Source organism: Homo sapiens, chromosome 1 (genome assembly GCF_000001405.40).
Source record: "Homo sapiens chromosome 1, GRCh38.p14 Primary Assembly".
In the NCBI taxonomy this organism is placed as follows: Eukaryota; Metazoa; Chordata; class Mammalia; order Primates; family Hominidae; genus Homo; species Homo sapiens.
Window position 1 is genome coordinate 196,697,526 of NC_000001.11, and position 16,632 is coordinate 196,714,157.

Here is a 16,632-nt window from a genome sequence, read left to right on the forward strand (position 1 = left end):
GGAGAAATAGGAACACTTTTACACTGTTGGTGGAACTGTAAACTAGTTCAACCATTGTGGAAGTCATTGTCTAGATCCTCAGGGATCTATAACTAGAAATACCATTTGACCTAGCCATCCCATTACTGGGTATATACACAAAGGATTATAAATCATGCTGCTATAAAGACACATGTACACGTATGTTTATTGCGGCACTATTCACAATAGCAAAGACTTGGAACCAACCCAAATGTCCAACAATGATAGACTGGATTAAGAAAATGTGGCACATATACACCATAGAATACTATGCAGCCATAAAAAAGAAGAGTTCATGTCCTTTGTAGGGACATGGATGAAGCTGGAAACCATCATTCTCAGCAAACTATGGCAATGACAAAAAACCAAGCATCGCATGCTCTCACTCATAGGTGGGAATTGAACAATGAGAACACATGGACACAGGAAGGGGAACATCACACACCGGGGCCTGTTGTGGGGTGGGGGGAGGGGGGAGGGATAGCATTAGGAGATATACCTAATGTTAAATGAAGAGTTAATGGGTGCAGCACACCACCATGGCACATGTATACATATGTAACTAACCTGCACGTAGTGCACATGTACCCTAAAACTTAAAGTATAATAATAATAAAAAAAGAATTAGAGAAGCAAGAGCAAACAAATTCAAAAGCTAGCAGAAGACAAGAAATAACTAAGATCAGAGCAGACCTGGAGATAGAGACATGAAAACCCTTCAAAAAATCAATGCACCCAGGAGCTGGTTTTTAGAAAAGATTAACAAAGTACACTACTAGCCATACTAATAAAGAAGAAAGGACAGAAGAATCAAATAGACACAATAAAAATGATAAAGAGGGTATCACCACTGATCCCAGAGAAATACAAACTACCATCAGAGAATACTATAAACACCTCTACACAAATAAAGTAGAAAATCTGGAAGAAATGGATAAATTCCTGGACACATACACGCTCCCAACACTAAAGCAGAAGAAAGAAGTCAAAACCCTGAATAGGCCAAACACAAGTTCTGAAATTGTGGTAGTAATTAATAGCCTGCCAACCAAAAATAGCCCAGGACCAGATGGATTTACAGCCAAATTCTACCAGAGGTACTAAGAGGAGTTGGTACCATTCCTTTGGAAACTATTTCAAACAATAGAAAAAGAAGGTCTCCTCCTTAACTCATTTTATGGAGCCAGCATCATCCTGATACCAAAACCTGGCAGAGACACAACAGAAAAAGAAAATTTCAGTCTAATATCCCTGATGAACATCAATGCGAAAATCCTCAATAAAATACTGGCAAAGCAAATCCAGCAGCATATCTAAAAGCTTATTCACCATGAGCAAGTCGCCATTATCTCTGTGATGCAAGGCTGTTTCAACATATACAAATCAATAAATGTAATGACAAAAAACACATAATTAACTCAATAGATGCAGAAAAGGCCTTCAATAAAATTCAACACCCCTTCATGGTAAAAACACTCAATAAACTAGGTATTGATGGAACATATCTCAAAATTATAAGAGCTATTTTTTAAAAACCCATAGCAAATATCATACTAAATATGTGTTCATTTTTATAAGAAATAGACAAACTGTTTTCCTGAGCGATCATACATTGTACCTTCACATACTCAGTGTATGTGAGATCCAGTTGTTTCGCAACCTTGCCAGCCTTTGAGATAATGTGTTTTTTTTTCCATTAAATTATCCATTCTAATATGTGTGTGATGGTATTGCATTCCCTAGTGACTAATGCTGCTTAGCATCTTCTTTGTACTTATTTACCATCTATGTACCTCCTTTGGTGAACACTGTCTAAATTTTGCCCACTTTCCATTGAGTTGTTTCTTCCATTACGGAATTTTGAGACTACATGATATATTGTGGCTACAAGCCCTTCACTGAGTAAATATTTTGCAAATATTTTTCTTGCATCTGTAGCTTTACTTTTCTCTCTAATAGTCTCTTTTCATGAGCAAAAGTATGTAATTTTGATGTTATCACATTTTTCATTTATAGATTACGCTCTTTGTGTCATCTAAAATTTCCTTGCCTAAACCAAGGCCATATACAGTTCTAGAAGTTAACATTTTACACTTAGTTATATGAGTTAATTTTTGTATGAGGTATGAGGAATATGTAGAGGGTTATTATTTTGCATTTGGATGCGTTACTGTTCCAGTATCACTTGTTTAAAAGACTATGTTTTCTTTATTGAATTGCCTTTGCTCCTTTTTTAAATTGAAAACATCCTCAAAAAATTTTTAAAAACAGTTAAGGAGGAAAAAGTAAAATTCAACTAGGCTTGTAGGACAATCAATGGTAATCATTAGGCTAGCTTTCCATTGACCCACTTCCTTATAGCTGGTCACTGATTACTAGTCCAGGATAACATAATCTTTGTCACTAGAATCTTTGTTCTTTTTCTGTTCTTTAGTTAAAATTTAAGACAATATGAGATGACAAACTTTCCATTTGAGTTTCTCCTTTAGGTTCTGCATACTAACAAAACTACTGATGCCAGCCATTCTGAAAGGCTTGACAAGAAACTCAACTTAGGGAAGAATGTACTTTCCATATCCTGATGATTTCAGCCCCCTTACCCGAATCAATTGATGACCTCAATTTTCCAGCCACTCCCCCTTCAAAGATTCTTGCCCAGAAAGCTTCAGTGAAATGGGTTTGAGTCTTGAGAATTCTTCTCATGTCCTTGTTTGGTGACCTTGCAATTGGTAAACTCTCTGTTGCAAACTCCACTGTCTTGGTATATTCTGTTGCTGCACAGCAGGCATACAAACCTTACAATCTTATAAAAATTCATGGCAAGCACCCAGACATGATGGCTCACACCTGTAATCCCAGCACTTTAGGAGGCAAAGGAGGGCAGATTACTTGAGGTCAGGAGCTCGAGACCAGGCTGGCCAACATGGTGAAACCCTGTCTCTACTAGAAATACAAAAGTTGCCCAGGCATGGTGGCACATGCCTGTAATCCCAGTTACTTGGGAGGCTGAGGCTGGAGAATCACTTGAACCTGGGAGGCAGAGGTTGCAGTGAGCCAAGATCGTGCCACTGCACTCCATCCTGGGAGACAGATTGAGATTCCGTCTCAAAAAAAAAAAAAAAGAAAAGAAAAAAAAATTCATGGCAAGCCACTCTCCTTGCAGTCATTTACCTACAGTCCAGTGCCCCCATGCCACTGGGGCTGACCCAGAGAGAAGCTCAAGAAGCTGCTTAGTTATGATGAACTAAGGGCCTTAGCTGGGGCCTTCTGTGTTGGCAGGGCAGTGCTGACTTTCAGCACACAACCTTGTCTGCAGCAGAGAAACCATTTCTGGTCTCAGAAGAAGTCTCAGGTGAGTTTTCTCAGAGCAGCTGGCACCCCATTTCCTTCTGTGTGTGTGTGCCTGTTTTCGTCTTAGAGGTCTTGTGGCCTCTTTGAGGTCTTGTTGACACTCCCTAAGTCTAGGTAGGAACTTATTTGAGGAGATCTCCCTTCAGATGGAAAAAGACTAGAGGGCATTGCTTGGGAGAAATGGTCTTGGATTTTGGAATCTGAAACTTTATATGGAAAGGTCTTTTGTTTGTCTTTGTCTTGTTATATGTATTTATGTTTGTGGAGGGGATCCCTGAAGAAATTACTAGTGGAAGAAATTACTAACTCAGGGAACTCTTCTTGTTTGGTCAGTCACATTCAGTTAGTCCTGAAGGAGTTGCTAGTGGAATCTCAGCAAGCCTAACTCAGGGTAATCATCTGCTCTTCAATCTTTCCCAGGCTTTACCCTCTGAACTTCTGATCGAAGGTCATCCCTCTCCAGCTTGAGTGGATCAAAGATGACAAGGGCCAATGGAACCAAGTTTGAGTCTTGCCAGGTCAATACTTGGGTCCTGAGTATGGTGACTAGTATCTGTTTTGTTATGTGTGTATTATTCCAGCCAGAATGGGAAATGCTAATTCAGCTCCTCCAGGCAGCCCAATGGGGCTGGTGGCTTTGAGATTATTAAACTCTTTCTCTGCTGCAAACCCCACTGTCTCAGTGTATTGTTCTGTTGCTGTGCAGCAGGCATACAAATCTGACAATCTCGTAACTATTTGTGGCAAGCCAGGTCGAGGTCACTCTCTTTGAGGGCATTTACTCACTGCCTAGTGCCCCCTTTCCACTGGGACAGACCCAGAGACAAACCCTAGCAGCTTACTTAGCTCTCATGAACTAAGGGCTGTCCCTTAGTTCTCCCAAAGTAACCCACAATGCAACCCTGATGGGCTGCATCTTCCAAAATTGAAAGGCCTTTGTCTATCATTCCATGAAACAAAAAAAGATTATCTTACTTTTTAACATGGCTTAACCTTAATACCCACTGGATTTCGGAGAACAGTGGCCACTGCATGGTTCTCATGCTTACAGTACGATCCTGTAGCTAGATTTGTTTTGTAAGAAGGAAGAGGAATGAGATGAAATACCCTATGTATAATGTTTTATGTTGCTTTGGAAAAGTACAACAATGTAGAAAAAGGTAAAATCATGATAAAGTAAGAAATTAAAGACTGTTTGGACTGATTTACAAGAAAAAGATGATGCTATGATGGTTCAGTTAAAGGAACCTATGACTCACCCCCCTCCACTTTATGGGGGAGCTGCAGCAGCACTACTGGCGCCTCTCCAGAGTCCCCACCACCAAAAAGTCACAAATCCGGGGCAACAGGTATGATCTCTACTTCTTATAACCCAACAGGGGACTCCATTTAGGCAGGGTGTCACTTCTTATACCCAACAGGGAACTCCATTTAGCCGGGGAGTCACTCTGGTTCTGAGAGGCAGTTTCCCCATAACAACTGCTTACAGGAGGTGTTGCTGCCACAGGCCAGCCTATAGGATTTATCTTGGTTTATTCTCTGTTCTCCACTTCCAACCTACTTAATTAGAAAAATAATATGCCTATTTATTGAGAAGATCTAAAGTTTATGGAAGGAACAGGATTGAAAAAAAAAAAAAAAACATCCAAAGCATATGAAGAATCTATTCTCCTCTGTATTTGCCACACAGAACCCTACCTGAGCAGGCACCCCCAATTTGCTCAATATTTTGTTGACTTCAGAGAAACAAAGAATGGTTTTAGAAAAAGCTAAGGAAAAGGCTGATCTTATTCACACTGACTCTCCCAGTAATCCAGTAAGGGCAGCTGCTCAGATTGCAGTTCCCACCTCTGACCTGGGATGGAATATAAACACTGGAGATAGATCTAACCTTGAACACTATCAAAACTGCATTTTGATCAGCCTCTGCAAGGGAGTGCCCAAGCAAAGGAGTCTCAGTAAGGTCCAGGATGGTCAAGCAGAAGCCTAATGAGGGTTGCTTTGGAATTCTTAGAACAAGTCTTTGAAGCTTTCAGAGAATAAATGGATATTGACCCAGAAGCCCCAGAAAATTTGATGATAGCTAACATGATGTTTATCCAACAAAGTGCCCCAGATATTCAGAGAAAGTTACAAAACGTAGCTGAGGCATTGGACATGTTTTTGTCTCAATTAGTGAAGATTGTTTTTAATGTATTTACTGATCACAAGTTTAAAGAGTGGAAAATAAAACACAAGGAATAATGAAAATGGCAAGCTGACTTGTTATCTGTGGCTCTGACCCTAGTAGTCCCTGGACCACAACAAGGGCCGTCATCAGACACTCCATCTATGGTAGAACCACCTGGGCCCCCAAAGGCCAATAAAAACGGACATCCCATTGCAGGTCCCAACCAGTGTGCTTACTGCAACAGGGGGGACACTGAGTGGAAAATTTCTCATGCCCTACAAAGCCTGATGTTAAACAGTCAGCCTTCTGCCCACCAAATGCCTGGGATAGCTGGGGAGCTTGAGAGAGATACTAAAGAAAAAGACCAGAAATGGTAGCACCCAGGGGCTTCTCCTGACCCAGACAACACCCTCCATATTTCCCACATGGGGCTTGAGATCCTGATGATGGTGAGAAATCAGCTTCTGGACTTTCTAGTAGACATGGTGCCATCTATTTGGTGTTAAATATCTGGTGGTCTAAACTTTCCTCAGAAATAATGAAGGTGACTGAAATCTCAGAAAAAATGCTGATGAGATCATTCCTCCAAATTTTGGATTGTCAGCTAGAGTAAGATCATTTAAAGCACAGTTTTTTGCTGGGCGCGGTGGCTCACTCCTGTAATGCCAGCACCTTGGGAGGCTGAGATGGGCAGATCACAAGGTCAGGAGATCGAGACCATCCTGGCTAACACAGTGAAACCCCGTCTCTGCTAAAAATACAAAAAATTAGTCGGGCATGGTGGTGGGCACCTGTAGTCCCAGCTACTCGGGAGGCTGAGGCAGAAGAACGGCGTGAATCGGGGAGGCAGAGCTTGCAAGTGAGCCAAGATCATGCCACTGCACTCCAGCCTGGGGGACAGAGCAAGACTCTGTCAAAAAAAAAAAAAAAAAAAAAAAGACAGAGTTTTTCTATACATCCTTGAATGTCCTATCCCTTTGTTGGGGAAAGTCTTCCTTTTTTGTTGTTGTTTTGTTTTGTTTTGTTTTGAGACAGAGTCTTGCCCTATCGCCCAGGCTGGACTGTGGTGGCACGATTGTGGCTCACTGCAACCTCTGGCTCACTGAAACCTCCACCTCACGAGCTAAAGCAATTTTCCTGTCTCAGCCTCCCGAGTAGCTGGGATTACAGGCGTGTGCCACCACAGCCAGCTAATTTTTATATTTTTAGTAGAGACAGGGTTTCACCATGTTTGCCTGGCTCGTCTTAAACTCCTGACATGAGGTAATCTGCCCTCCTTGGCCTCCCAAAGTGCTGGGAGCTGGGATTACAGGTGTGAGCCACTGCTCCCGTCCTGTTAGGGCAGTACTCTTAACCAAACTAAATGCTAAGATTACTTTTTCTCTGAGATGATTGGACATCCAGGTGCCTTCAGACCAAGCATGTGCTCTGCAGGCCATATTATTACAACTGGAGATCCTTGAAAGTGCCTGCACCCCTGAAGAGATACTCCAAAAGGTTAGTCCGGAAACATGGGCAGATGGGAGGCCAGGGAAAACAAAAACTGCATCTCCAGTACAAGTCAAGTTTTGTGCAGGAGTGGCGCTGCCAAATCTAAAGCAGCGCCCTTTGAGAGAAAAGGCACAGCAATGCATTTAGCCTCTGCTAATGGCCTTCCTGCAATACAGGAAGAATTCCTTGTTTCTCATGTAACATACCTGTCTTGCCAGGACAAAAACATGGAACTGAGGATTATTGGTTTGTACAGGATTTGAGGGCTACTAGGCAAATTTTCAAAGCCATTTATCTGGTGATAACTGATGCTTATACATTATTCATGACTTTAACCAGTGAGTTGTACTGGTGTTCAGTCTTGAATCTGAAGGATGCCTTCATCTGTATTCCCCTGAGTCCAGAGTCCCATGAAGTGTTTGCCTTTGAATAGGAAGACTCTGACACTAAAGCTAAATGATAGTATTGCTGGATGATGCTCCATCAAGGCTTCAAAAACTCACTAACCGTCCGGGGGAAATACATGCTAAGGAGTTTTGGGACCTCCAATTGAAAAATGAGACTTTGCTTATATATGTTGACGGCATATTAGAAGCCAGCACAACTATGGCAAATTGACCAGAATATTATACTGGCTTTACATTTTTTTTTTGTCTGGATGGGGATCCAAAGTATCCAAGAAAAAAATCACAAATATTGAAAAACTCAATTATATATTTTAGGTTTGAATTTTCTCAGGAGCAGAGTAATCTGCTTTCGGACTGGAGAGAAGCTCTTGTCAGGGTGGCCAGACTCAGGACATGGCAGCAGCTGTGAGGGGTTTTTAGGTATGGCTGAATGTTGCCATATTTCATTTTCTTATTTTGGGCTTATAGCAAAATGTCTCTATGAAGCCCTAAGACCAGACACTTGACTTCTAGAATGGACAAGGAATGTCAAAAGGCCTTTCTAACCATTAAGTAAAAATTACTAATGGATCTGGCTACTGAGACCCCCTGAACTAAGAAAGCCATTTGATTTGTTCATACATGAGAGAGAAGGGATGGGTTTAGGAGTAGTAACCCAAGACTTGGGGAATATCATGAGGCCTGTAGCCTACTTTTCAAAACAGCTGGACATTGTTATGATGGGTTGGACTTCTTATCTCTGAGCCACTGGCACCACTTGTGATCTTCTCCAGGAGGCAGAAGAGTTCACTTTGGGTTAACCTAGCACTGTACACACCCCATACTGTGTATGCTATTTGTTGGAACAGAAGTGGAGCTACTGACTTACCTCTAGAAGACTGAATAGGTATCAGGTCATCCTCCTGGATAATCCTAGTGTTACTTTGAGAGCTGTTTCTGCTTTAAATCCTGCTAAATAAACCTATACATGATTGCATATAAATTACTGAGCAAGTGTGTTCTATTCAACCAGACATGACCAAAATTCCCTTTAAAAACCTGGACTTAAAAATATTCACTGAGGAAAGCAGCTTTATGCACCACGGACAACAGAAGGCTGAGTATGCTATTGTAACCCTGTGACAGATCCTAGATGCAGAGACACTCCCTCTGGGTTCATCGGCACAGAAGGCAGAACTTAGAGTCCTAATCAGGGCATCCCAACTAGGTAAAGACTCCTGAGTCACCGATTACTCTGATTCCAGGTATGTTTTTATTGTTGTCCATGCTCATGGGGCCGTTTGGAAAGAAAGCGGGCTCTTAACCTTTGATGATTAAAAAAGAAAAACAATTAAGCATGCTAAAGAAATCTTAGCCTGACTAAAGGCAGTCTTGGTACCCAAGAAAGTAGCTATAATACACTACCATGGACATCAGTGGATGGACAATTTGGTAGCAAGAAAAAAAAAATCACTAGGCAGAGCAGGCCACTAAAGAGGTGAACAGAGAAAAAAATGCCCAAAGCCTTCCTAATGCCATTAATCCCTGAAATAAACTTCAGCCTAAAATCCCTACCTAATGGAAGAAGATGTAAAGAGAGAATTCGATTGAGACTTTGACTCCAATCAAAGAACTCAAAATGAGTGGATATGTGACACGGAAGAAAAGGTTCTGGTGCCCAAGTATCTTGTGACAGATATCATCAAACACATACATGATACCACACAGTATGGCAGGCATGCCACCCTTCAATTGATCCAGGACTATGTCTTTGGGACACACTTAAAGAAGACTATCCAAAAAATAATTTAAAAATACCTACTTGGTGCCCAGAACAATCTTAAGACTGGTCCTCCACCCCCAGTACCAAGGATTCAAGCAAGAGGTGCAGGGCTATTAGAGGACTGGCAAATTGATTTTACCGTGATGCCAAGGGTAGCAGGAAATTTTAAATACTTGCTTGTATTTTTAGATACATTTTCAAGATAAACAAAATCATTCCGCTGCAAGACCAAGAGAATGTCTGAGCTAATGAGAGCCTTGGTAGAGAAGATTACCCTCAGGTTTAGGTGGCCTGTCTCCATCCAGTGTGACCATAGTGCAATTTCTGTAGCCTAGGACACCATATATTCCAGGCCCTCAGCATAATCTGGAATCTTCATACAGCCTGCAGACTGAAGTCTACTGAAAAAACTCAAAAGATAAATCATACTATATAAAACAAAACAAATTTTAGCTAAGATTTGCCAAGAAACTAACAACCTGGAATAACATTCTGTCCATTGCCCTGCTCAGAGTAAGGGTGGTCCCTAAAAGTGGGCTTAAATTAAGCCCTTTAAAAATTTTACATGGGAGATCATTCTTCCGTTACCTTCTCAGACTAAGGAATGCCAATAACATACACATAAATAAATTAGATATTATCAAATATACACAATCTTTAGGTTGTACTTTAACTACTATTCACGAGTTTGTGGTTCCAGCAGATTGTGGTATCCAACTGACATTCTCTTTCATCCCATCCAACCCAGAGACTGGGTTCTGCTCAAGACCAGGAAAAGTCGACATCCTGGGGACCACTTAAAACACAGTGAAAGAGGCCATGCAAAGCATGACTGGTGACCCATTCCTCTGTTCAGCTTGAAGGACTTAGACCCTGGATTCACCACAGCCATATAAAACCCGCCCCGCCAGATTCTTGTCCTATCAAGAAATGTAGAGAGGCCACTTCAACTTCAGAGACTGTCTCAACCCTATCTGAATGGATAAGTAAATCTTTGATGGGCCTCAAATATCTTTTGAGGAAAAATATCAGATAAGTAACTTTAATGAAATTAGACAAAACATATGTCTTCTTGACAACTACAATAGTTACTTTGAGCATAACAGGAATGTTTGTTATTATAATTATTTTATATAAAAAGGTGAGATACCTTCCTGTCTATTCCCTGCCTTACTGAATGCTTAAGCCATATATTTACTTGGTCATTATAATTGCCTAGATAATTACAATTGCTACCCTTATAGACATTACTTCATAATTGCCTTGGTCAATACAATTGTTAGACTTATAGATTTTCTAGACATTCTATGCCATGCTAACATAGTCTCATGCCACTCATTATGTGGACATTCTAAAATTTAGAAATGGTCACTCTTGTTTTAAAACTTCTAATTATACCTCTCCTGTTACTACAGTGCCTAGACAGGCATAGCAACACTGTAGTTCAACTGTTTCAAGGTATTGCCACTGGAAGAAACTTACCAGAATGATGGATCTGTCAGTAACTCCCCCAAACTATTCAAAATAAGCATTTTCTGTTAGTCATACTTGTCACTGACTTTCTGGATGTTCCAAATATGACTACCTATCTGCACCAGCTTCTTTCCATGGCTACTTTCCAGGTCCAAGTAATAGTACACCAAGAAATCACCACCCCATGTGTCAATCTCTCTCTGCCTATCATAAATGGAAAGTCATTCCATTACATAGGCCCTCCATGGCCCATGGCATACTGGGCAGACAAACGCAGCTAGGAGAAGGGAAATAAAACTAAAAGTTTCTCCTTACTATGCCAAAAATATTTACAGTGGGGAATATCACACAAATTCTGGGGAGCCTGTAAAAAAAGATCCCTAGTTCAATTCCATTTGTCTATATTCCCCATGAAAAAATCCATCAATAAATGCACCCTTGAGGGCTTTACCTGTGTGCCCCCTTGGTACATGTTTATTTGTGGCATAGGATCAGACCCTCCTCTGTTAGGGCAAGCCCACTGGTGTCTCAATAACCTGTATATTAAGGGCTCTCACTTACTGAGATACTTCTCAGTCCATCCTAATGACAAAATATTCTGCCCATTTTCCCACCGACTCCAAAAGGGACTGCCAGGCATATATCAATATATCTGGTGGCAGAGCCTTCTAGGCATCACGAGTCCTAGCTATGGAGTATACACTCACTGGGACATGATCAGAAACTTATTGGCAACCACAGAAATAATTGCAAAAGAGGCTGCTAAGAACATTGAGGCTGAGAAAACTCTTCAAATTTACTTGCCCAGATAGTTCTTGACAACGGAACTACACTTGATTTTCTCTTGGCTTTACAGAGAGGAGTCTGTACAGTGATCAATACCACCTGTTGTACTTATATCAATGCTTCTGGTAAAATAAAAACCAAACTAAAGAAAATATTTCAGCAGTCTCGCTGGAGACCATATGTCTCTACCACAGACCCTATGTCTGAATAGTTTTTTGAGCTTTCCGCCTGCATACTCCATGTTTTCCAGTCCATTTTTCAAGGACTCTTGAAGTTCAAGCTCACAATTCTGTTTATAGGGATTATAATTTACATGATTCAATTAAATATTACAATAAAACCATAGACTGAAGTACTAACATGTTCATCCAGCACCCTAAGCTGGGTATAACAGCTTGCAGGTTGTTACAAGACGGTTTCATTCCTCTAATCCTGACTCTCTCTCTGTGCCCCGTGTCAGCAAAAAGAAGCTAGAATGGCCATTGCCCGATTCATACCATATTAGCTTTTACACCTCAGAATTGAGAAGGGATCAAGCCCGGAAGGAACTGAAACTGTCCCTAGGAAAGTTATATAAAATTGATTAAGGGGGAAAAATTCAACTATGATTTCAGGAAAATCAGCAGTAATCACTAAATCAGCTTTCCATTTGTCCAACTTCTCTGTAGCTGGTCATTGATTACTACCCTAGGATAAAGAAGCCCTTGTCACAAGACATTTTGGTCCTTTTCCTTTCTATAGATAAAATCTAAGACATTGTGAGATGATAATCTTTCTGCATGAGTTTCTCCTTTAGGTTCTGCATATGAAAAAAAAACCTAGCAACATACTGGTCAACAAGGCAAAACCTCATTTTCACAAAAAATTAAAAAATTAGCCGGGCATTATGGCACAGGTCTGTAGTACCAGCTGCTCAGGAGATCTGAGGTGGGAGGACCACTTGAGCCTGGGAGGCAGAAGTTGCAGTGAGCTGTGATCACGCTACTGAAATCCAGATGGGCAACAGAGCAAGATCATCTTGCTCAAAAACAAAACACACACACACACACAAACATACACACACAGACACACAGACACACACATCAGCTGGTCTAAAGAGCCCAGCAAAAAGCTGACTCAGGAAATAATGCAGGTTCCACATCCTGGTGACTTCATCCCCCTTACCCTGACCAATTGACAACCCAAATTTTCTAGCCCGTCACCCTCCATGATCCCCTTAAGGTCTCTTGCACATAGCCCCTTCTCAGAACAGATCTGGGGCTTGAGAATCCTCCCAATTCCTTGTTTGGTGCCCTTGTGTTGATTAAAGCCTTTCTTTGCTGCAAACCCTACTGTCTCAGCGTATTGGTCTATTGCTAAACAGTGGGCATGTGAACCTGATAGTCTTATAACAAAATAGAATAGAAGCTATTTATAGGATCGATCCATGCATGTGAGTCTATTTCTGGACACCGTTTTCTCTTCTATTCTTCCACGTGTTTGTCCTTTAACCAGTATCATGAGATCCTTTACTCACTGTAGCTTTTTTTAAGTCTTAAAATTTGGTAATGTGAGTTTTTCAACTTCTCTTATCTTTTGAAGAATTGTTTAGCTGTTTTAGCCCCTTTACCTTTCCATATGACTTTAGAATCAGCATGTTCGTATGTGCAAAACATTGTGCTTGGTTATTCACTAGAACTGGGACACATTCACAGATGAATCTGGGGAGAACTGATATGTAATAGTATTAAATTTTTCAATCCATGAATATTATATATCCTTTGATTTAGTAAGATCATACAGTCTTACCCTAGTTTTTTTTATTTTAAGCATACAGATCCTGTATTTTACTAGATTTATAACTAAATATTTTGTATTTCATCCATCAACGAAAAATTCAATTTGTTTAATAGACAGAATTTATTAATGCTACCTAATCCTTCTTGAGAGAGCCATGATAGTTTGTGGCTTCAGTAATTTTTTAATTCATTCAAGTTCTTGAATTTATTGACATGGCATTATTCAGAATATTTTTTATTTTTCTTTTAATATATGTAAAAACCATAATGATGTCATTTCTGTCATTGCTGTTATAAGCAATTTGTGTTATTTTTTCTGATTTAGTCTGTCTAAAGGTTTCTCAATTATAGAGATCTAAAATAACAAGCTTTTGGTTTCCTTGTTTATATACATATTTACTTCTTTATTATTTCATCTCTGATCTTTATTGTAGTATTTCTTCTGCTTACTTTGAGATTAATTTTTTCTACTTTTACTAATATCTAATGGTAGAGGCTAAGGTTATTGAAGTGGAACACCGTCATTTTCTATCCCAGGTATTTAGTGACACCAATTTATTTCATACTGCTCTAGTGCCATTCCACAACTTTTGATATATAGTATATCAATCAGTGTTTGGCTGGAGTAGGGTGAGTATTCCATAAAAGATTTACTGTGATTTTTGGAGGGAGGTGTGAAGAGGGTATTATTACCAAAATGTGGATTTTTTTTTAACTCCATTCTGTATTTTGGCTAAGAGAAGCAGCTTTGGAACTTCTCAAGTCTGTACATCTGTGAGACCCCAAGGATTACTTGTTTTAATTTTTTTTTAAGTTTAGGTTTGTTTTGGGTCAACTTAGTTCTTTCAAGGCTTATTTTTAAGCTTTTAAAAAGCTTAAAAAACCCCAGAGATAGTTTGTTCAGAATATTAAGCTGCTTCTGATGTCTCTACTACGTGACCTAGATGTTCAAACGAGTCTTTCTACTCTGATTGATTCCATTTAAATGTCTCCCTGTGTTGTGTGTGTGCTCTGGGAATCCTTTACCTTTTTGTTCTCTGGTAGTGTTCTTCATCTGATAGGTATCCTTTGTCCATTCTTGGGGAGTTTTGCTCTACTCTCCAGAGTGTCAATATTCAGCCAAATAATCTAGGGAGTTGCTGTGGAAATTTGTAGAGCCCTTTCACTCCATAGTTTCTTCTTTTCTCACTCTGTTTCCTGCAGATTCTAGTGAACTCATCTTCTTTGGGAACACTGAGTTTTGTTTCTTCTACTCAGCAAGTGTGGCACTTTCTGCTGAATTCTCCTTCTCCATGCTGCTGTTTGGAAAATTTCTCCCAGCATAAAGTCACTTTGATGATGGAACTCATCTCATTGTCACTTTTTCTCTGGAATTAGGTGCTTCCTGCTTTCCAATGTCTGAAAATGTTATTTTCATCTATTTTGTTCCATTTCCTTATTTGTGGCAAGAACTCTGTTTTACTTGATTATTCTTGCCTGGTCTTTTACCTTTTTAAATTGTCTGTACTGATTGTTTTCTATTTGGTTTCTTCTCATATTTGGATTTGTTTCAAAATTTATACTCATGCTGGATTTTGTCTGGTTTCTTTGTTATAATTTATTATAAATAATAATTTATTTTCAGTTTTTATTCTTTTCTTTTATAGCTATATAATGATAAATTTCCCTCTGAGGATTGTTCGAGTGTCATCTCACCAAGTTTAATTTAATATGTTTTTATTATCATTCAATTCAAAATATTTAATGTTTCCTCTTCTGATTTTCTCCTTATCCATGAGTTATTTAAAAATGAAGCTGAGTTCTGGGAAGCAACCTAGTAAACGACAGTAATTTCTTTTTTTGGGTTATTATTATTATTATTATTATTATACTTTAAGTTTTAGGGTACATGTGCACAATGTGCAGGTTAGTTACATATGTATACATGTGCCATGCTGGTGTGCTGCACCCATTAACTCGTCATTTAGCATTACGTATATCTCCTAATGCTATCCCTCCCCCCTCCCCCCACCCCACAGCAGTCCCCACAGTGTGATGTTCCCCTTCCTGTGTCCACGTGTTCTCATTGTTCAGTTCCCATCTATGAGTGAGAACATGTGGTGTTTGGTTTTTTGTCCTTGCGATAGTTTACTGAGAATGATGATTTCCAATTTCATCCATGTCCCTACAAAGGACATGAACTCCTCATTTTTTATGGCTGCATAGTATTCCATGGTGTATATGTGCCACATTTTCTTAATCCAGTCTATCATTGTTGAACATTTGGGTTGGTTCCAAGTCTTTGCTATTGTGAATAATGCCGCAATAAACATACATGTGCATGTAACCGACAGTAATTTCTATCATCAGTTAACAGAAACAGTAACTTCCACTCTTTCAAGTTAAGTTCTACATAATTTGAGGAATCATCATTTTGGCCTTTCAAGATAAATAAATCTGTTACTGTTCCTCGTCTTCTTTGAACTCCACATGTCCATTTACTTTGAAGCACACAATAAGAATGACATTTCAAATTCTTGGAGCCAAAGGCTATGAAAATTATTTTGGCAGATTTTCTAAGATCATCACAGGATCTCAGATACTCCAATTGGCTAAATGAGATTTGGAATTGCCAGAAGATCTACAATAGGCAAGATTAAAAAGTCCTAAGAAATAATACTCATTGTCTATTGAGTTCTGACATGCTGTAGAATTCCAAATCCATTAGACAAACAGATTTCCAATAATTTCTTAGAAATAATTGTAAGTGTCTTAAATAGAGCCTTGTTTTAAAAAGTGATGAAGAGTCTTGATGTAATGTCTTTGGCAACTCTGAGCTTATTTTCCTTGACTTAAGTATTTGAATGCTTATGGTTATCCAGGTTTTCAGTTACAAATGACTCATTATTTTTTATATTTACATATTACTTAAATTCTTATAAAATGTTATTGATCATATGCTTGTCTTTTTCTTATTCTCTTCCCTTTTAGAAACATGTTCCAAATCAAGTATAGATATTGAGAATGGGTTTATTTCTGAATCTCAGTATACATATGCCTTAAAAGAAAAAGCGAAATATCAATGCAAACTAGGATATGTAACAGCAGATGGTGAAACATCAGGATCAATTACATGTGGGAAAGATGGATGGTCAGCTCAACCCACGTGCATTAGTAAGTAATTTATTATGTTTGTATTGATTATCCAGATGATACACAAAAGTTTACTAACTTTAGTCTTTTTGTGGGGGCTGATATAATTTCATTTGAAAAGATAAGAAAAAAAAACCTGCAGGAACAAAGCAGACATCAATTTTTTTTCCTTTTCACATTAATTACTCAGATATTAGTCTGTCTTTCCATTCAGGCTTTTCCTACTCTAAAGCATTCTGTGTTACAGAAACAAGTTAGGGA

At 39.3% G+C, this 16,632-nt stretch overlaps 1 protein-coding gene across 2 annotated transcripts in view; it reads left to right on the forward strand.

Annotated features, from left to right (window-relative positions):
• CFH (complement factor H) overlaps window positions 1-16,632 on the forward strand; it is a 95,462-nt gene that overhangs the window by 45,483 nt on the left and 33,347 nt on the right. The window contains exon 10 of one of the 2 annotated variants that reach the window (NM_000186.4): window positions 16,210-16,392. In NM_000186.4, the coding sequence (NP_000177.2) occupies window positions 16,210-16,392 (183 nt within the window). Of the gene's footprint in view, window positions 1-3,792; window positions 4,042-16,209; window positions 16,393-16,632 lie in introns of those variants that run through there. The other variant, NM_001014975.3, reaches the window with a different exon arrangement.